The sequence below is a fragment of the Homo sapiens genome, chromosome 2, assembly GCF_000001405.40.
Source record: "Homo sapiens chromosome 2, GRCh38.p14 Primary Assembly".
Lineage (NCBI taxonomy): Eukaryota > Metazoa > Chordata > Mammalia > Primates > Hominidae > Homo > Homo sapiens.
Genome location: NC_000002.12, coordinates 139,445,380 through 139,468,805, shown reverse-complemented (window position 1 = coordinate 139,468,805; position 23,426 = coordinate 139,445,380). Strand labels below are relative to the sequence as shown.

General features: G+C 35.7%; 1 long non-coding RNA gene across 2 annotated transcripts in view; it reads right to left on the bottom strand.

Moving 5' to 3' along the window:
- LOC105373645 (uncharacterized) overlaps positions 1-23,426 on the bottom strand; it is a 66,805-nt gene that overhangs the window by 8,956 nt on the left and 34,423 nt on the right. The gene's annotated exons all lie outside the window — the stretch shown is intronic.

The following is a 23,426-nucleotide window of genomic DNA, read 5'->3' as shown; positions in this document are numbered from 1 at the left end:
ATTGCCTATACTGGTACTTGAAATAAAGTGGCAGCTTCAGTAATAATAAATGCAACAAAAATATTCATTTTAGTGGAGATCCTAATAAATTTGGAACATTGCAAGTGGTGTTTACAAAATGACCCAAATCCAAATATTGAAAACATTTTTGTGTTAGATGTTACATTTCATTCAAATATCTGTCATTGAGAGGCACTTCTAGATAGACTCTGCCATTTTTATCTCCTCAAAGTTAAATATCAAATGTCACCTGTCGTGACATCCACAAACTACTACTAGGCTAAGCCAGAAGGAATAAATTTAAATAAAATTAAAAGGCATTAGTTATTTACATTACGTATTTTAAGTGACTGTCTAAAGTAGTAGAGTTTGGTGGTCTCTATTGCCTGAGGAGTCCGCCTTCTATTTAAAAACCTTTGTGTGACCTATCAAGCCTGACCATAAGCAATTACAAAGGCTTTGCCTAGCAGGTCTCATGGAGAAGAAAGCTGCTCTCCCCACTGCAGATAGGGTGCACAGCCAGTGCACGGGGAGGTCTCTGCAGGGGGTTGCAGTCAAGGATTCAGGTTCCCCAGGCAGGTCATGCTCTTCATGCATTTACCTTCCTAGCCCAGGTGTCTTCTTTCCTAGGTTTCTATCTGAGGCCTTGGGCAGAGTTTCTCTTCAGGTGTCTCTACCAAGGCTTCCTTATGGTTTGTAGGTGGGGCCTAAAGACACTTTTCCCCACTCTGACACAGCACCCAGCACTTTTCCACGACTACTGCTCTCCCTTCACCTCTCCACCAACCCCAGAGTCTATAACATTGCCAAGCCTTTTGTTGGAGGCTCCCTCAGCTGTGAGAGGACATCACATCTATATTGATTCACCTGACCTCCCACAGGTGCTCTGTTCTGTGGTGGAAAATGGAGCAGAGGGAGTCTGTGTTTTCTCTGGTTTTAGCCTCTTGCATATATCACAGCCATAAGAGATTAAAATCTTAAGGCTTTCTTTTTTGGCTTATTGTTTTATTCGGCTATCCTGACACCTGACAACTCAGCAATCTCATTCTCTCCCAACTTAGCTGAATTCCTGACACTAGTTTCAACCCATATTATGATCCAGTTCCCAAAGAAGGATCTGAATGAAATGTTTCTGCACTGTTGATAAGCTTTGAGAATTTAGTATTAGTGTACCTCATTTCCACAATTTTAAGGGAGCATGTTGTTATCAAAACCCACAATGCTTGAAGAGTGTGACTACCTGAATGTGTGAAATATGGGTCTTCTCCAACCTCCACTAGATGACCTCATTTTTCTCTTTTATTAATTGCACTACCACATTCTGAGAACCCCAGTGCTATCCCTTAGCAAACCAAAACCATGGACTCTCACAGTACATGGTAATTTGCATCTCACAAGCCTACCCTCTTCTTTATATGTTTCAAATCTAACCAGAACTTTCTTCTTTAATCTAAGTTCTTCTCCCACTACATATCTGTTGCTTTTGCAGATTGATTTTAATGAGCCACATAGGAGAGTCTGCTGGATAGTTTTATTTCAGGAGGCTTTCTGCAATGCTTACACCTATTTCTGTAGGCAGATACTTATTCTTCAGCGTCGTAATATTGAATCTGTACCTTCCTGGGTAAGACACCAGCTTGATTTATAAATAATAACTATTCCAGATTGGCAAAAAGCTGTTGGATGTATTGCAGCGCAGAAAATAATTCTCCAAAGTATGGCACTTTGGCATGCTGAGCACTTTGAACTAAAGAAAATTAAAAGGCCTTGGAAGCAGTCTCAGAACCACGGACTTTCTGACCTTCTGTTTCCACTCACAAGCATAGGGTGAACTCTCTCTCTGAAGTTCCCTTATCTGAAGTTCCTCCAGGAGGAATGCCTTTGCCTTCCACCCCCTCCCTAAAATGTATTAACCAAGGAAAATTCAACTCATATTGTAGAAAGGAAGACTGAGGAATGTCATCAAACACTGACTTTGTCACAAGCCATTGTCTGTTCTTCAGTCCCATTCAATTTCCAAAGAGAATCATTTACAAACTATTGTCTGTTTTTTGGGCCCATTTGATGGTCCTAAAAATCATGTACCACCCCTCAAATTTACCTACTTTTCCCCATCTCCCTGTTCACTATGAAGAAGAGTATATAAGCTTCTACACCTCACTGGGTCATTGGGTAATCACTGTCCTGTGATTTCCTTGTACTCATACTAAACTTTCCTTTTTCTTTTGTTAATCTACTGTCAGATTTTTTTGGTTGGTTTGTTTTTTTTGTTTGTTAGTTTTTTTTTTTAGCTAATTCAAACATTTGAAGGGTAGGGAAAATTCCCTTTACCCCTACATATGTTAGGAAACTCATTCCTGCGAGTCTCAGTCCACAAATGTGAAGACTAATCCACACAAATGGTCACCAGAAATTACATTAAAAAGCAAAAAAAAAAAAAATACTGAAATGCTGATGGTGATGGTTGGTGGTATTGGAAGCTGAGATTTGACTAAGATTACTGCACAGCAACAGGAAATTTCTTCTGATATTTACTTTTAAAGCACAAAAACAGATACACAATGGATCTTACAAATGAAAGCACTCTTTAGGCGGCAAAAAAACAGATACTTTGATTAAGCAGAGATTTCCCAAAAGCAGAGATTGCAGAGAAAGAGCTCTAAAATGTCCTGGCCTCTGGGGCATGCCCGTGATTGCTTTCCTCGTCTCTGTGAATACATATGTAAGGGGCATCACTATCCAGGGTTGATCCTTTTTCCTTGAGGTGAATGAGCCAAGCAATACATCTAGTACAGTGTGAGCTTTTTGAGGAAGTAAGCAAGGTTTCATTTCTTGTTGTTACTATTATTACACTCCACCCAGTAGCGTTTATTGCCTCAAGGAGAAGTACACATTAGCCTAGAACAAACAGGACATAATAATTTATAAATAAATATTTTTGTTTGTGTAGCAGAAATAATAATAAAATTCAGAGCACTGGCTTTCATCGAGTAAAGAATTTTTTGAATTCTTGAAACTTGGCTCTGGGCATTATGAGAAAATTTTGTAGGAATTATAGTTTTGAGTGAGTAAAAAAATGTGATGATTAAAGAGCAGTTTCCCTAATCTCAAGAAAGGCCGTGATAATTGAAGATCTTTAGGATTCCGAATGCAGGGAGAGTTAGGATTGCGAGAGAAGAGCTGGAGAATTTAGAAACAACTTGGGGAGTTATATCACTAACCCATGTGTGCTCTTTGTAGATGAAAGTTTAATAAAGGAAATTATTAAGTGGTGATTTGACAGCAAAATTATCTGTTATGAGTATAAATTGTGCCACAAAGGTTAGTCTGACTTCACTTATAGCACCACAAAGCAAGTTCCCAAAAATACACTGATGCTGTGACTATATATTTACTTATATTTGAATAAATTTAAGTCTATATAAAAATATATTTATATTTAGATATAAATATATTTATTTTTATTTAATACATAATTATATATTACATTATAATTACATACTATATTATATAAATATGTAATCAGTTGTGTTTATATAATTATAGACATTATATATGTTAAAATCCTGTTTGATACTGTGCTGTCATTTTGGATGGCAGAAATAAGGGGACAGTTCAGCAAAACTTGAGTCCAATGACCAGAGGACATATTCTGTGTAAGGTTTCCAAGGACAGATACACACATTAGTCTCCTATTGCTTCTGTAACAAATTACCTCAAACTTAGTGCCTTAAAACAACATACATTTATTATTTTATAGTTCTGGAGTTCAGAAGCTCTGAAGTCCAGGTGTCATCAGGGTGGCTACATTCCTTCTGAAGGCTCTAAGGGAGAAAGTTTCCCTTACTTTTTTCAGCTACTAGAGGCTATTTACATTTCTTGGTTCATGACCCTTTCCCTCATGTTTAAGGCCAGCAGCCTAGTATCTTTAAATCCTTCTTTTACTGCCTGACCTCTGCTTCCATTGTCTCATCTCCTTTTCTGAATCTGAACTTTCTGCCTCCCCCTTATAAGAACTTCTGCAACTCTATTGGGCTCACTCACATAATCGAGGATAATCTTCCAATATTGAGATTTTTAAAGTCTACAAAATCTCTTTTCCAACATAAAGCAACACATTCACAGGTTCTGTGATTAGATCATGTACATCTTTTGGGGACTGTTATTCTGTTTACCATATTATGGTTTCAAGTGTAATATGTAAACCTCATTAAATCAGAATCGAGGCTAGAAATTCATCATTTGACCACAAAGCTTTATTGTCAGAATGTGAGATTTTTGGAACTCCAATTAATTTCTTATCCAATTTCTATAGCAGTTTCTGGTCTCATACATCTCAACAAGACAGGAAAAGGAAAATTAGTTAATTTGCTAAGGTTAGAACTAATTGGCAACTACTTTCTACCATTATAGACAAAAGGATTATTTTCAATAAATTTAATAAATGTGGGGAAACTGTCGTGTACAGAGCAACATCATGCCACTGATACACTACAGTCGTTTTGTTATTCATCTCATTTGAAAGCAAAAAAGGAAAAGGAAAAGAAAAGCAATTTCCAAACTTTAAGTGTACAGTTTCTCTAAAATAATATCATACTTAATAAGTTACATGCTTTTTCATGTAAAATGTTACTTTAGGCCGGGCGTGGTAGCTCAAGCCTGTAATCGCAGCACTTTGGGAGGCGGAGGCGGGCGGATCACAAGGTCAGGAGATCCAGACCATCCTGGCTAACACAGTGAAACCCCGTCTCTACTAAAAATACAAAAAATTAGCCAGGCGTGGTGGCGGGTGCCTGTAGTCCCAGCTACTCGGGAGGCTGAGGCAGGAGAATGGCGTGAACCCAGGAGGCGGAGCTTGCAGTGAGCCGACATCGCGCCACTGCACTCCAGCCTGGATGACAGAGTGAGACTCCGTCACAAAAAAAAACCAGTTACTTTAAAATATGTATCACAGATCTTTTCATGAAAATTCATTAGATAGATAGAATTATTTATTTATTTATTTATTTTGAGACAGAGTCTCGCTCTGTCCCAGGCTGGAGTGCAGTGGCGCTATCTTGGCTCATTGCAAACTCCACCTCCTGGGTTCAAGCAATTCACCTGCCTCAGTCGCCCAAATAGCTGGGATTACAGGTGCATGCCACCACACCTGGCTAATTTTTGTAATTTTTTTTAGTAGAGACGGGGTTTCACCACGTTGGCCAGGCTGGTTTCGAACTCCTGACCTCAGGTGATCCACCCGCCTCGGCATCCCAAAGTGCTGGGATTACAGGCCTGAGCCACTGTGCCTGCCAGAAGAATTTATTTTTATAAACCTATGAAATCTTTTGATAGTCCATCTTTTTTCAAGAAGAATTAAAGTAGACTGTATGTTTCAGTTAGTGTCACTTTTAACATTCATAAGTGTACGGGTTTGATAAATTATATGACCACCTCAGGATAATTCTTTCTACATTAAAACACAAATAGAAGATAGTTCAATTTGTTGTCTGCCTTCTCCATAATCAATATATGTTGAGGATAAAAAAGAAAAAAAAAATGCAAATGCCTAGAGGTAAAAGGGAATATCTTGGAGCAACAGATGTTGTTAAGGACCTTAGAGACTGAGGGCAAATGGGGTCAGATACAGGATTAGAACAGCAGCCTGGGGCCCTTGCTGAAAGCTGGGAGAGGGCTGCGATAGAGGAGCAGCAGCCAACAGTGTTGTGCAGTTTCTCAACTGGAAATATTAATGAAGCAAGGAACTACCAGACATCCAAGAAACACTAGAGCCTAAAGAAACTGAAAACAAACAAAAGACATTATATCCAAGGGAATAGATGACAGAGCAGCCAGAAAAAGTCAAACCAAATAAAACCAACAATTTCAGGAAGATGACAGAAGGTATTTAATCAAAGGAACATCAGCAGAAAGAGTTAGAAAAAAATGTATAAACAAACACCTGGAGATGGTGGAGGTGAAGATAAAAAATACAGTTTTAAACAAAAACAGTCCATTGTTGCACTAAATAGTAAACAAATCCAAATTTTGATTTAGGAATTTTCTTCAATTACATCAGAATAGAATAATGAGATGATAAGTGTAATATAAAAATTTGAAAAAGGAAAATAAAGAAATGGAATTCAAAGAGAGAAAAGAAAGGCTGTAATTGTAATTACTGAAACTAATGGAAAAACACTACTGCTTTTAAAATATTGATCTTGTATTCAGATGCCCTATTAAACTTAAAAAAATTAATTCTTACTTAAATTTACCCATTTATTCTTTTGGTTGTCCTATATAGATAAAATGGCATCCGAAAATAAAAAAAAAAATCTTCATCTTTAATTGTTTTACCTATACTTTCACATGAATATAGAAAGATATTCACAATAATTCATAACAGCAAAAATATTGGAAACAGCCTTTCTTCCATCAGTGAAGGAAGAAATCAATTACATTATGATGAAATGCTATATAGCAATTAAAAATGGTGATCCGATTTATAAGTATCAAAATGAATGAATTTTTAAAATAACGATGAGAAAAAATTTTGCAAAGAAAAGTGCAGTGAGATACATTTCAATGTAACATCATAGAGCGAACATCAAATATTATTGTTCGTGGTTCATTGACTTTACACATACAAGACACAGTAAAAAAAATAGATTAGCAACATTCACCTTAAATATGTTAAAATGGATGTCAGAATAGGAAAATAGAACTGGGAACGGGGTATAAAAGGATTAAAAATAAAAAATAAAAAATGGGATATTACTTGGAACAGTGAAGAAATGATGTCACCAACCTAAAGAATATTAATCAAAACAATGTTATTCTTTCCACCTAGTCTGGTGGATCAGGATAAAAACAAACCAAATCCAAAGCTAAAAGAATTTTTTAAATAAAATTAATACATAAAAATAAATGAGCAGAATTTAAGAAGAAACAAAAGGAAAACCATTTGTATCATAATGGCCATCTTTTCTGGCAGACACCGAGAAAGGAGGAAAGATGGATTTTTCTAACTTATTTTTCAAAAAGTAGTTACAATGGACCCTTCTTCACCTAAATCCTACAAAATGCATTTGCATGTATAGAGGGTGATATTGTGGGGATAAGAGGACAATTTCTTATTAATACCTTCAAAGCTTAAAGAAACAGAATTCAAAATGCTGGTTCTTATATTGCCCTCTGATAACAATCAAAGTCTTGATTATGAAGGATAATTCAGGATAGCCAGTATGTGAGCAACAGCATGAAAAGTGCCAACCTTGTTCATTGCACCTTGCTGAGGACTATCTGTATGCACCAACTCAAAAAGAATAATAAAAAAATAATATTTACTAATTCATATGAAAAAGGCACCCAAATCTAATGGGATTATTGAAACTAACAGAAGTAAATGACTTGGTAGGGTGACTAAACTTATCTCTAAATAACTAGAGTAAGATTTATTACCTGCAATTAGAAGAAAGGGCTTCTAAATGTGAAAGCAAGATTTCAGGCCTAAAATACATGACTTTTACAGTAGAAGTTTCTTCACATTTGTACTTTTAAACCTGTTTATTTCTAGTTATAAGGGGGGAAATAACTATTAACAGGTCTAAAAAGGGCTGACCATACTGCTCATGTTCAGTGTTTGAACTACCAGTGTTCTACAGCCTGTAGAGTTGTTTGCTCCCAATTTAACTTCTGTCAGTTCAAACAGTGTTTCCATTCATTGGCTGGTATGATAATTTCTGGGGATTTGGATGCCACGATTGATTAACTCACTGCCAAACCTTTACTAATACACAATCTGGACTGGGACAATTGTTTCCCTAAGGGTTGCTTCTCAGCATTAGTTACTGAATGCAGGGAAAAAAAAAACAAAGTGGTCTTGTTGATCAATAGACAGAATCAAATACAGCTGAATGGAAGCCTATGGGACAAATCTAGGTTTGTTATTTTCTTAAATAACTCTAATAAGGTTTCATTTTTTTCTAAAATGCCAATTTGTCAAAATTTCTGATCTGGATAAAAATCTTGATGCTCAGAATAGGGCAGGGAAATTGAAAGATCAGTGTTACAGGTCGTGTTTCTAAACTTCAGTCTGTGGACCACCTGGTTCAGATTCATGGGGGTGTGCTTATTAAATATTCAGATTCCTGGTCCTTACTTACTACCAAATGAACTCTATAAAGCAGGCACCAAAAACACATGTTTTATAAGTTTCTTATAATCTAGAAACTCAACCTAGAGGGTTTTAATTTTAACTCAGTAGTCTTAATAATTCTTCATTATTTCTCATTAGAGGAGTTCTGTTGAATAATTCAAAGTCATTGATTATTAATTTTAAATGCAACGTGGATCCTTGTAGGGATCTTTCCTGAATAGAAATCTGCGCAGGCATCCTAGGTCCAGTTTGCAGTGGTCTGTTTTCATGTATTAAGGAATAATGATGAATTCCATTAGATAGAGACTTTGGATTTCAAATCTGAAGTCTCTGCAAAATGACTAAATGATACATGAAAATTCAGAAACATTTTGACAAATCTCATAGGAGAATCTTTTCATTAGTCTACTGTTAGATCAGAAAGAATTCCGTTTAGAATATACTATGGTGCTGCCAATTTTAGTTATTTAGAAGTGAACGCTTTACCTTTGGAGGACCACTACATGGGACTAGGATGATATTCAAGGATAATTAGAGGGGAATGTGGCCCAACCATGGCAGGCACACAGCAGAGAGCAGGTTTAGGCAGTGAAGGACAGAAACCTAGATTAGCTTGAATCAGAGTCTGAACAGATAATGTAAAACCAGAACATTATGTTCAGAAACGTCTAAACTGCATATATGTTGACTTCCATCAATTATTTTGATGTTTCAAAATGTAACAGACATAGCTTATAACCCAATAAATACCCACATCATAGAAAAATATCAGTAATAATTGGAGAAAGAAAAAACAGACCAACCTTCTTATTCGAAATATGTTTTAGCTTTTAGATCCAAGCTTAACATGTCCAGGAATTTTATTTGCCTCATTATTTAACAAAAATGAAAAAGAGCGGTCAATGCTAAGCAATACTAATAAGAAAAATAAAATAGTGAGGGTAAAAATAAACTGAATTAAGACAAATTTTTAAAAATACATGGTTAATGAGCTAGGATGATTACATAATGTTAAGAGATGGTTGATATGAAAAAATCTTGAAGAAAAATAAAGTAGAAAAATAAGATTTGAAAAGATAAAACATGAACACAAATAAATTTAAAGAGTTTTTAAAAAGGACTAGAAATTTAAGAGATAAAATAACAAGACACATATATAGGAATGCAAGAACCACTTATAAGGATAGGGGCTAAAAGAAAAATTCAAGCTGTATATAGAAAAGTCCAAAGTTTAACACCCTTGAGAACTAAAAACAGTCTTCTAGGATGAAGCACCAGCAAATCTCTGGAAAACCTCTTGTCTTTACCTCTGTCTTAGTCCATTGAGACTGCTATAAGAAAATATAAACTGGGTAGCTTATAGACAACAGAAATTTATTTCTCATGGTGCTGGAGTCTGAGCAAAGTCCAAGAGCAAAGTACCAGCAGATTAGTTTCTGGTGAGGGCCCACTTTTGGCCTCGTAGTCAGAGGCTTTTTTCCGTATCCTCTATTATAAAGGCACTAATCGCATTCATGAGAGCACCACCTTCATGACCTAATCATCTCCTCGAGCTATTTTATGCCCTGAAATGTTATATGATTAGTTTATTATAACATAGTGCTCAAATGCCACAAGTTTTTTCATAATTCTAGCTATTTTTTTTTTTTTTTTTTTTTTGAGAAGGAGTCTCACTCTGTCGCCCAGCTATTATTTTTTTTTGAGACGGAGTCTCGCTCTGTCGCCCAGGCTGGAGTGCAGTGGTGCCATTTCGGCTCACTGCAAGCTCCGCCTCCCAGGTTCACGCCATTCTCCTGCCTCAGCCTCCGAAGTAGCTGGGACTACAGAAGCCCACCACCACGCCTGGCTAATTTTTTTTTTTTTTTTTTTTTTTTTTAGTAGAGACGGAGTTTCACCATGTTAGCCAATTCTAGCTGATTTTAATTTGTCTACTCTTGATATACTTCATTTACATTGGGCAAATATGAAATCATTGCCACCTTTTAACCTTTTAATATCTACTCCTTAGGAAGTATTTTAGCTTGTTCTATGGTACACAGCAGAAGTGGGACAAATACTATTTTGCATCAAAGAAAAGGATGTATATTGCTTTGCCTCTTTCTGCACTTGCACTTCTTACTGTATATTTTAAGAACACTAGTAGTAATCTGTGTGGTAAGTTATTCAATCAAGCTTTGTACAGTAAAATATAAGGTCATATTGCTGGATGTTTACTAGTTGCAAAAATATGCTAATGGTACATAATTGCATATTGCTGCACCACACACTTCACCCTCTTAAATGAGGAAATAGCTCTAACAGCATTTCATACTCTGGAGGGGACATTTCTTCTTGAAAGGAAGTTTGATACACAAGTTTTTCTTCCAAAAGGATTTCACCAGAAAATATAGCATACTGAGATGGGCAAAATACAGCTTTTTGTTCGCTCTACATATATCATTAATGTCAGCTGTTTAAAAATGGATGTCTCTGAGCCAGTTTGCAGCATGTTTTATGGCTGCAAAAGTGTTTAGTGTAGATATAAGTCAGAATATGATTTGTTCCTGACACCAGATGCTGCCTGTGACGTTTTGTCTAGAGAGAATAATGAAGGGAATCTGCCGCAAAGATTCTATCCGTTAGGCTTTTCTTTTTAATCAGGTCACAGTTCGAAACCTTCTGACAGTGCCAGCTCTGTACTGATCCAAGGATTATCATGGTTGATGGACAGTGAGTATTCCACCTCAATCTCATTTGGACTGATGAGTGGTTACAGTTTGCTAATGCAGCATTTGTTTTTATATTAGAATATGAGAGGATGAAAGAGTTCACTGAGTAATTTTCTTTTAAGATTAATTCAATAGAAGGAGAATGCTAAAGTTTTTCTGTCACTTGTCAACTTATCTATTAACAAAACTGCAGAATTGATACATTTGAAAGTGAGTACATTCAACTTCCTGAGTTTGAAGGCCTCTATAAAAATAGCTTCTAAAAGTCGAAACCAGGAAATTTGTGATTTGAAAGTCAGTATAATATGATGAAAGAGATCAACCACAAAAGCTGGTGAGGATTAAGAATAGCAATAGTTCATAGCTAAAAATTTGCATATAGCTAAGTAGTTATTTCTTTTTAACATATTGCAGTCAAATCTGAACATTCTCCTGAACAACTTAAGATTTGCTGGTCTCATGAAGGAGGTCAATCCTCATTACCTGGCAGGACTGATCATTCCCCTCAGCTTCACTTTTCCTAAATAGGAAAGTCCAACTATTCTAATCAGCTTGAGACTCATTTTCTGAACTCAGTTATAAAGTTTTTGTGCTGTGATCTTTCATTGGTTTGACCCAAATGGCTTACCAAAATGGATTTATTATATCAGTGTGTCTGTGCTGTCTCTACTTTTTTCTATTTATTTCTGCTATGTTATCATAAACATATTCTCTACTCTTTTAGACCTAACAATGAAATTGATTTTGAAAGGTACTCACTAAGAAATTAAATCAAAATTGATAATATTCTAAACGTAAGACCTAAAAATACAAAACTCTTAGAAGAAAGTTTAAAAGTAAATTTTCATTACAGAGTTTTAGGTAATTTCTTAGATATGACACCAAAAAGACAAGCAACAACAACAACAAAAATAGATAAGTTGGGCTTCATCAAAATTAAAGCCTTTTATTAGTACAGCCATTATAGAAAACAATACGAACTTTCCTCAAAATTAAAAATAGAACTACCATTTTATAGTAATCCCACTACTGAATATATTCAAAGCACATGAAATCAGTATGCTGAGGAGACATCTGCAGTCCTGTGTTCATTGCAGCATTATTGATAATTGCCAAGACATGGAAGCAACCTAAATGTTCATCCACAAATGAATGGATAAAGAAATTGTGTTATATATACACAATGGAATACTATTCAGCCATAAAATAGAAGAAAATCTTGTCGTTTGTGACAACATGGATGGATCTGGAGGATATGTTAAATGAAATAAGCCAGACACGGAAAGACAAATACTGCAAAATTTCACATATGTGGAATGTAAAAAAGTTGGACTTAGAAACAGAGAGTAAAATGATAATTACCAGAGGCTGGTGGGTGGCATAATTGGTAAATGTTAGTCAAAAGAAACAAAATTTCAGGTAGACAGGAGAAATACCTTCAAGAAACCTATTATACATTATGGTGACTATAATTGACAACAATATACTGTATATGTGAAAATTGTTAAGAGGTTAGATTTTAAGTGGTCTCACTCCAAAAAAACTGATACATATATGATGTAACACATATGCTAATTAGATTTAGCCATTCCACAATGTATACATATACTGAAACATCATATTATACATCATAAATATATGTAATTTTTACTTGTAAATTAATGAAAAATAAACCTTTTGTGTTGAAATTGATTCCATTAAGAAAGTAAAAAGGCAAACCACAGAATGAGATAAAATATTTGCAAATTAAATATCTGATAAGAAACTTATGCCCAGAATGTATAACTAACACTCATAACTCAATAATATAAGAAAAATGACCCATTTTAAAAATGGGCTATGAATCTGCATAGCCATTTCTCCAAAGATACACAAATAGAAAATAAGCACATGAAAATATGTAAAAATACTTTTAAAATAATGTGTCAATAGGAAAATCTAAATCAATACTATAAGGAGATACAACTCTGCAGTCACTAAAATGGTACAATGAAAGAGATAGATAATAACAAGTGTTGACAAGAATGTGGAGAAACTGGAACCATTATACATTGCTGATGAGAATGTAAAAGGTAGAGTTGCTTTGGAAAACGGTCTGGCAATTCCTCAAAATGTTTAATATACAGTTATCATATGACCCAGTGATTCCACTCCTAGATGTATGCTCAAGAAAACAGGTGTTCACGCAAACGCACATACACACACAAAATAAAATATGCAAATAAATGCTCATAGCAGCATTATTCATAATAGCCCCAAATTTAAAACAACTCTGTTTTCCTTCAACTAATGAATGCATAAACAAAATGTGGTATATTTATACAATAGAATATTACTCGGCAATACAAAAGAATGAAGTAGGTACAAGGAGGAGCTTCAAGACGGCTAACTATAGGCTTTTCATACTCACCTCCTCCTCTAAGAAGAACCAAATGGTGAGCAGATAACCATGCTTCGAGTAGATCATCCCAGAAAGAACACTGGAATTCAACAGAAAAGTAACAGGAAATATCTAAAATAAGGAAGATGAAGGAAGCAAGGCAGCCTGCTCAGCTAGGATTGGCTGGATGGCAGAAGAGACTCCCCAATGTGGGTAAAGTGTAAGTGAGAGACTCCCAGAGGACACGTTTCCACCATGGACTCCCCAGATCCTATCGAGAGAGCCCCTCAAATGTCATGGGCCATGAAACTAACATAGGAAGCTGTCAGGAGACTGTGTGATGGCACTGCTACAGGGAGGAAGCTCATACTGAATACCACACACTCCTTGACACCTAAGCAGCTAGAGCAAGGAGTCATTGTAGAGCTCTGTCCCCAACAGACTATACACTGCCCTGGAGCCCAGTGGTGCTGTAGGTGAGGCACAGGAAAAGAGCAGACTGCTGCCCCCAGAGCTGAGACATGAGTGACTATGGACTACTGCAGACAGGGCTGAGGCATGATTGAGATGTAAGCTACCACCATTGGGGCTGAGGTGTGAACAACTGCAGGCTACCCTACCTAAAGCTGTGAGTATCAGCTACCACAGCAGGGACTGAGTCGCTAAAGCTGCCTGAGCTGAGGCACAAGTAGCACTCATGCTATGCCACACCTGCCAGCCTAAGCTGCTGTCTCTGAGAGTGGCACCTCCCTCTCCAATGGCAAAGCAACAATGTGACTTCTGATGCCCACCACCCAAGCATTCTGATGGTGGCCTGGGAATCAACCCACCCTTACCTACCATGACTGGCTCCTGCGTATACCATCAAGAGACCTAAAAACAAGACTCCCTAGCCCAGCTTTATCTCACATCCCATGCCAGAGTATACGGTGTGGAGGCCAGAGGACTGCCCAACCCAGTCCATCACCATTGACACTAGAACATTCCTCCCAGGGCCTGAGGTTAGACCTACACACCCAGTTATTAATGCCACAACTGGCACCTATCTGCATGTGCCATCTGTGGGCCTAGACACTGGCCTACTGAACTCATTGAAGCCACTGTCACCACCAGCACACACCACTCAAGACCTTGAGGGTCATCCCACCATTGCCAATGCAATCACTCATACCATATGGCTGGCCAGGGAACTGAGAAGCCACTCATCCACCTGGCCCACTACTGCCACTACTGGAATCCAGATAAGGCACATGGAGGTCAAAGAATTGACCTGCCTGATTCGTTAACACCAGTGTCAGTGTACACTACTCTGGAATCCAAGGGCAGATACACTAAGCCCACTGCTACCACTACTGGGGCCCAAAGACTGGCCTAAAAGGAATCCCTGTCCCCAGAAAAACTTCACCACAGCCCCCATGAAAAAACCACATTCTAAGCAACTGAGAAAATCACACGTACCACTGATACTGTTTACAGTGAAGAAATCATACAGAGACTGCATTACCACACACACCAAGAAGTAAAGCCAAAGTGCCCTACCCAACCGACACTACAGATACATACTCAGAAAAGTCATCTCCTATGAAAGCAAATTCAAAAAACTGGAAAAAGAGCTTGTTATATCAGATGTGCAGATATCAAAATAAGAGCACAGGAAACACGAAAAAAACAAGGAAATATGACGCCTCTAAAAGAACAAAATAACTTTTCAGAAACGGATCCCAATCAGGAAGAATATCATGAAATCTTGTAAAAACAATTCCAAGTATTGATTCTGAAGAAGCTCAGACTGAATTCTAGATATATATGGATCCAACACTGGAGCACTCAGATTCATAAAGCAAATATTATTAGATCTAAAGAGAGAGACTGTAATAGTAGGAATCTTCAATACCCAACTCTCAGTCTCAGCATTAGACTGATAATTGAGACAGAATATCAATAAAGAAACATTAGATTTAAAGTGAACTTTAGACCTAACAATCAAAAAACATTTTAACCAATAACTGCAGAATATACGTTCTTCTCATCAGTATGTGGAACATTCTCCAAAATAGACCATATATTAGGCCACAAAACTAGTTTCAAAAAATTAAAATAATATCAAGTATCTTCTCAGATCACACTGGAATAAAACTAGAAATCAATACCAAGAGAAACTTTGGAAACTATATAAATACTAGAAATTAAACAACATGCTCCTGAATGACCATTGGGTCTATTAAAAAAATAAAATGCAAATTAAAAAAATTCTTGAAACAAATGAAAATGAAAAAAACAATAACCAAATCTTTAGGATACAGCAAATACAGAGCTAAGAGGGAAGTTTATAGCAATCAATTCTGACATAAAAAAGTAGAGATTTCAAATAAACAATCTAATGATGCAGCTCAAGGAATCAGAAAAGCAAGAACAAACCAAACCCAAAATTAGCAGAAGGAAAGAAATAATATACATGAGAACAGAACTAAATGAAATAGACATAAAAATACAAAAGATCACCAAAATGAAGAACTTATTTTCTGAAAACAAACAAAAGTGATAAACCACTCACTATCAAGAAAAAAAAAGAGATGAGACAAATAAACAAAATCAGAAATGAAAAAGGAGACATTACAATTGACATCACTGAAATAGAAATGATCACTAAGAAACTGGACAACCTAGAAAAAGTAGATAAATTTCTGCACAGGTACAAGCTACCAAGATTGAATCAGGAAGAAATAGAAAATCTGAACAGTTAAATAATGAATAGTGGAATTGAATCAATAATAAAAAGTTTCACAACAAAGAAAATTTCAGGACTGGAAGGATTCACTACTGAATTCTACAGAGCATATAGAGAAGAGCTAATATCAATCCTCCTGAAACTAATTCAAAAAATATGAGGAGTAGAGGATTATCTCTAATTCACACTGCCCAAAACAATCTGTAGTTTCGATGTAATCCATATCAAAATAACAATGTTATTTTTCACAGAAATAGAAAAACTTAGCCTACAATTTGTATAAAAGCAAAAAAAAAAAAAAAAGCCAGAATATACAGAGCAATCTTGAGCAAAAAGAACAAAGCTGAAAACATTACACTACTTGATTTTAAAATATATAACAAACCTATCGTAACCAAAACTGCATGATATGATATAAAAATAGAGATATAGACCAATGGAGCAGAATTGAGAACATACAAACAAATACATATATATTATAGCAAACTTCTCTTTGACAAAGACATCAAGAACATACAGTAGCAAAGGATACCATCTTCAATAAACGGTGCTGGGAAAATTAGATATCTATATGCAGAAGAATGAAACTGGACCCATATCCCTCACTATATACAAAAATTAATTCACAATGGATTAGTTACATAAATGGTAAGACCTCAAAATATAAAACTACTAGAAAAAAATAGGGAAAACACTTCAGGAGATTGGTCTAGGTAAATATTTTACGGCTAACACCTCAAAAGCACAGACAACTCAAACAAAAATAGACAAATGGGACTATATTAAACTAAAAAGCTTCTGCACAGCAAAGAAAAAAATCAACAGTAAAGAAACAACCTGTAGAATGGGAGAAAATATTTTCAAACTATTCATCCAACAATGGACTAATATCTAGAATACATAAGAAACTCAAACAACTCAGCAATAGAAAATAAAACAATCTCATTAAAAATGGGCAAAGGACATGAATAGATAATTTTCAAAACTAAACATGCAAATGTCCAACAGGTTTATGAAAAAATGCTCAATATCACTAATCATCAGAAAAGCAAAAATAAAAACTACAACGAGATATCGTATTGCTGCAGTTAAAATAGCTCTTATTAAAAAGACAAAACATAATAACAACAGATGCTGGCAAGGATGTGGATAAAAAGGAAATTCTCATATACTGTTGGTGAGAATGTAAATTAGTACAACCACTATAGAAAACAGTATGGAGGTTTTTTTTTTTTTTTTTTGAGACGGAGTCTCGCACTGTCGTCCAGGCTGGAGTGCAGTGGAGTGATCTCGGCTCACTGCAAGCTCCGCCCCATGGGTTCACACCATTCTCCTGCCTCAGCCTCCCGAGTAGCTGGGACTGCAGGTGCCCACCACCACGCCCGGCTAGGTTTTGTATTTTTAGTAGAGACGGGGTTTCACTGTGTTAGCCAGGATGGTCTTGCTCTCCTGACCTCATGATCCACCCGCCTCAGCCTCCCAAAGTGCTGCTATAACAGGGGTGAGCCACTATGCCAGGCTGGAGGTTTTTCAAAACATTGAAAATAGAAGTACAATACCATCCAGCAATCCCACTACTGGCTATCTACCCAAAGGAAATCAGTATATCAAAGGGATACTTGCCCCCTCATGTTTATTACAGCACTATCTAAACTAGCAAACATATGGAATCCACCAAATAGTATCCATCAACAGATGAATGAATAAAGAAAATGAGGTATGTATATACAAGGGAATACTATTTGGCCATAAAAAGAATGAAATCATGTTATTTGCAGCAACATAGTGAAACCGGAGGTCACTATGTTAATTGAAATATCCCATACACAGAAAGACAAATATCATGTTCTCACTCATATGTGGGAGCTAAAAAAGTAGGTCTCATACAGGTAGAATAGAATAATAGATACTAGAGCCTACGAAGGTGAGCTGAATGGGAAGAGGGATAAAAACAGGTACTTTGACAGGTACTAACATACAGCTAGATAAAAAGTTTAAATATAGTTACTTACAATGTATTGTACATTTCAAAATAGGTAGAGGAGAGAACTTAAATTGTTCCAAAACGTAGAAGTGATAAACACTCAAAATGATGGATAGCTCAAATATCCTGACTTGATCATTACATACTCTATCCATGTAACAAAATATCACATGTAACCCATAAATATGTAAAATAGTATGTATCTATAAAATTTTGTTAAAAAAGAGCATCAGAAAAAAGATGAAAATTCTTATACAAGCTATGACATTCTTAAGCCTTAAAAATGTTATACTATGTTAAACCAGTCACAGAAGACTATACATTGTGTAATTTCATTTATATGTAATGCCTAGAAAAAAAAAAGATACAGAAAAAAACTCAATTAGTGGTTATTCAAGCCAGGCCGGAAGGAGGGGACTGGGTGAAGAGTGACTGTTAATGGGTACAAGATTTCTTTAGGGGGTAATAAAAATGTTATAAAATTAGATTTTTGTGATGATTGCTCAACTCAGAGGATATACTGAAAACCATTGAATTATGTACTTTAAATAGGCAAATTTGTGATATGTGAATTATATCTCACTAATGCTGTTTAAAAATGGGTACTAGCAACAAAAAAGAATATTGACTTTTAACTGTTGCTTAAAAATAACTGGAAGTGTACAAATCAATCTTTATCATTTGGCTGTAATACATTTTTGAATCAAAACACCAATTTAGTTGTTTAATCATTTTATCATCTTTTTAGAACAGGAAATAGAGTAGAATAAAGCAAAATGGTCTGGAATATAAAGAATAGAATAGAATAGAATAGAATAGAATAGAATAGAATAGAATAGAAATCAGAGAAGAAAAGGAAAGAAATAGAAAGAAAAGAAATAATAGAACACATTAGTGATCTTATGTATGAATTACATTTTAAGGCTGGTGATCAAAATGCATTAAAAATGCTTATATATGTATAATCTACTTCCTTTCTACCACTTCCCCTCTCTGCCAGGAAAACAGACGAAACTAGTGTATCTTCACATAAAATTTCAGACTGTGTTTAAATGCCTACTTACTGTGTACATTTGCTGTTTGTCACATGAATGGGATTTCACCTTTCTATAAACATGACAGAATTTTGTGAGAGAGCACTATCCATCACTGTTTCCAGAGGAAAAAAACCTGGATTTTAGCCAATGTTTATGTGAATTACAACAGTTGTATAAACTATATCATTTTGGCAGGACACTTAGTTGTTCTTGTTTTCGTCTGCTTTTTTTGTTCAGCTTTGGTATTCCTTAAAGTGTTATACCTTTTAACCAAAGTGACACAGGTTCATATTTGGCTCAGCCATCATTGCTTACTGTACAGCCCATGTGAAATTGCCAAACAAGTTTACTGTATCTGAGAGTGTATTAACTCTAATATGGAAATATCTTCCATCCAAAAAAAAAGCAGAATAAAACAATTTTCTTTGTTCCAGTACCCCAGGGAGCACACAGCCAGCAGAAGACAAAGTCATAAAGAGGGTACTGAAATTCGAGACAGAAATACCCATAATGGCAGCCCTACAAAGCTCTTCACATTAATTCATAAAGTAAGCAGGGCTTGTAGAGTATATTTGAGGAAGAAGAAAAGAAATCCCCACTAGTCTGTTAATTACAAGTTCTCATATAAGATTAGACTGCATAAAGGCATGAGTAAAGCCTAACACCTGTTGGAGATTGGTTGTAAAGCTTTTGAGAACAACCCAGGTGCTTTGTGTGGTACAGATGATGTCAAGAAGGAGTCAGTCTGAAGATATATGTAGGGGACCTGAGAACCACGAAGATGCAATGAGAAGCCAAGATACTTATAGACTATATACAAACTCTGTTGCTCCAAACCAATGCTATATCATAAGAAAAAAAATGTAGACTAATATTACACTCCACTGCAGATGTATGATTTCTATTGTGTTAATTTCAGCTTGGTAACCTTATTTTTAAAATAATCATGAAATTTAGAGTACCAAGAACTCAGCTGCTCCCAAGAGTATCACCTGTTCTGCATTAGAAAGCTTTAAACTGAAGAACAAAAATTTCTCTCTGGTAATGTTATATATAGGGATGTTATACATAGGGATGTTATGTTATATATATAGGGTTATATATAGGAATGTTACATATAAGGATGTTATATATAGGGAACCCTGGGCCACACAATTCTTCTGACTCTCAAAAAGTCAAGTAATTTCTCCTCCTTTTAAAAGGCTGTCTTCAGGGGGCTTATTTCCTCTTAGATGTTCTACTAAAAATACATAATACCTTGAGATAAACATTCTGTTGATTTTCCAGGTGGACAGTTTATATTGTCCTATTTCTCCCAAGATCAGAACAGAGTTCCCCTACCACCAACAAAAATCTTAGTTGTGACACAGTAAAATGAAATATTTTCACTCAACAGCTTGAAGTTTCACATTGGCCTATCTCTATTGTTTCATGCAGCATAAGAAGTGATGGATGAAGGCTTAGGAGTCAGAAAGAAACAAGTTAAAACAATAACTCTTCTACTTATCACCCATACCACCTCAGGCATCACTTAACTTCTCTGTTCCTTACATAATTAGAATAATAACACGTGGTAGGTTTTATAAAGTAATTATAGAGTGTTAAAATGTAATAATTAAGGTATATCTCAATCCTTAACAAATTTCAATGGAGTTTATTATTTGGGGATAACAGAAAGTTTAGTAGTCTTTCTATATCTTTGTATCTTACTGATTTTTTTTTCACTTGTTACATTTACAGATCTTATTGTGGTCTTTACTCATTAGTGGCAAAAACAGTGCTCTTGCCTTGAATATGCCAGTTAATATGCAGAAATTGAATTGAAACCAAACACACGGGACTAAATTATACAGAAAGGACTGAATCAGACTAAAATATAGAGAAAGAGAAAAATAGGACTCTAGGACTAAAACATACAGAAAGAGGAAAAGTGAGCATAATTCTGCTCCAAAACACTGGTTGTTGTTTATGCCTAGGCTAGAATTTCTCAGTTTCAGCACTATTGGCATTTGAGGCTGGATGTTTTGTTGTTGTGGGGGACTGTCCTGTATATTATGAAATTTTTAGCAACATTTCTGGCTTCTAGCTACTAAACGAAAGTACCACCCCCTTCCATATAGCAATCAGCTTATTATTGCTCCAGCTTTCTGCCTGGAGAGAGTCTCTAGGCTGCCGAGGAGGAAGGAGATCCCAGGCAGAGCCCACTGGAATTCATGAGTTGAGGGGATGCAGCTGAGATTCAATGGAAACCACAGTATTTAGAGTTTACCATACAGATACATGGGAAAGAATACATGACACAGCAGGAGAAGACACAGAAACCTGGGAGTTAGTTGTATCAGTGAACACAATAGATTAGAGTTCTGAGGAAAAGCCATACAGCAAACCAAGCAGAGAGAAGACAGTGAGCAGGGCGAAACCTTGGTCACTTGAGAGCAAATCAAAGATGTAGGTCAAAAACCCGTCAAAGAAAGGTCCAGAAACTTATGAAGATGGAAACGTAGGGCAAAGCGAGAAAGCCAGCATGTAGACAAGCAGCTGGAGCAGGAGACTTAAGACACAAACTGCAGAATACTATGATAATAAGATCACTATCTGAAACTCAGAAAGAGTCAGATGATCTTTCCACTATTCTAAAAGTGAATTTGAGAGCTTGCAGTGGAAGCAAATAAAAAAGCTGATAGAACAGTAGACATTTGAAGATTATGGTAGATCCTCACACTTAGCCAACCACAGATGAGTCAGAAGTACTTACAGAACTAACAAATAACTGAGAGATACAAGGCATCTCTATATTGCACATTACAGAGTGTTAAATATTAAAAGGTTAAGCCATATCTTAGATCCTTCTCTCATTCGCATGCATGGAACTCAATTATTTTGTGACTCTCTAAAATGTTTGCTTTCTTTTCTTAGACCTGTCACCTTACTTTGATGCCCTGTTTGGTTATGAGAGTGTTCTTGTCAATATGTCTTGCTTCCTCAACTAAATTCCGTGTCTCTTAAGGTCAAGAACTTCATCTTCTTTGCATTTCCCATGCTGCTTAGAAAAATGCTAAGTATTTGGAAGATACTCTGTTAACCTGTCTAGAATGAATGATGAATATTACTATTCCCTGTGTGTGAGCATCTGTTTTAGAAATGACATGGGAGAACTGAGGGGTTTTGGAAGACATTTGACGGCATTGTGGGTTTAGGGGGCTCACTATTATAGTACTAGAAATGATATCAAGTTGGTCACCTGGGTCTAATTTATTATGTAAATCTTAATGAATATAAAATGATATTAAATTAAACGATGAATTTAAATGAGAAGATTTAATGAGAAATTTCCATCTGCATATTTCACCTGGGCCACTGTTACTGTTTCCCAAACTCTATATTAGAATACTCAAGTGTGCTGAAAAGATCAATGAAATATAACATCCTGGACTTTTCCAATCAATTTAACCATTTTAAGATGACAGAATAGAACAAGTGAGAGTCCGACACAAAAACAAAAAGGAAGATGAAAGATGTGTGATGGTGAAAGGGGGGAGGAAAGGATGTGTGCCTGCATATGTGTCTACAGACATATTAAATTTTTATGATTTCACATATATTTATGGATTAAATCTATTTCTCTAGTAATTCATCATGAAGTTTCTGAGAATAATTCATATACGTTCTCTTAGACAAGCACAAAAACGTGCTGAAGACTACCTTATATTACTTGTGTTTGGAAAGGACACATGTTGAAAATGATTGGGGGGAAAACTGACTTTAGGCTAAGAGTTCTAAGGTTTCATGGGAATAAGAAGTGAAAGTGATATGAAGGTCAAAGTCATTCTCACCAGGGTGAAGTTCCAATGTCAGTCATTGCTCTCTGGCAAACCAGTAAAATTAGTTATAACCATAAAGCTATTACAACAATTCGGTTTAAGATGTTTCATTGAGTAAAACTAATTCTAACCAACAGAAAATTCCATAACTTTGCTGATAACTTAGCTCTTTTTTCTCTTTTTGAAAAATGTTGCTACTCTTATTGTGTATTAAAATACAATTTAAAATATATGAAGAATGTGTACAATTGTGTAAATTTACATAATGTAATAGAAAATGTTAAACTGCCAAATGGTACATATGCTATGATTATAATGATATAAAATTTTACAGGCAAATGAGCAAAATAGAGAAGATATAAGAACTTTAATTGTGCTAGGTTAGTAGAGTTGCAGATGATTTAAAATGTGCTGAAATATTGTGAAAATACAGTTTTCCTTTTTTAAAAAATTATAACATAAACACATTAAAAAATAAGATCACCTTTTTCTAACCAGACACCATTACAGTTTTTATGGAATTCTCCAGGCTGACACATTAATCAAAGAAAATGTCCATCCCACATCTTTGGTGTCATTTTTTTACCTTCTTACTTCCTTGCATTAAGAGGCAAAAGATCCATATCAAATT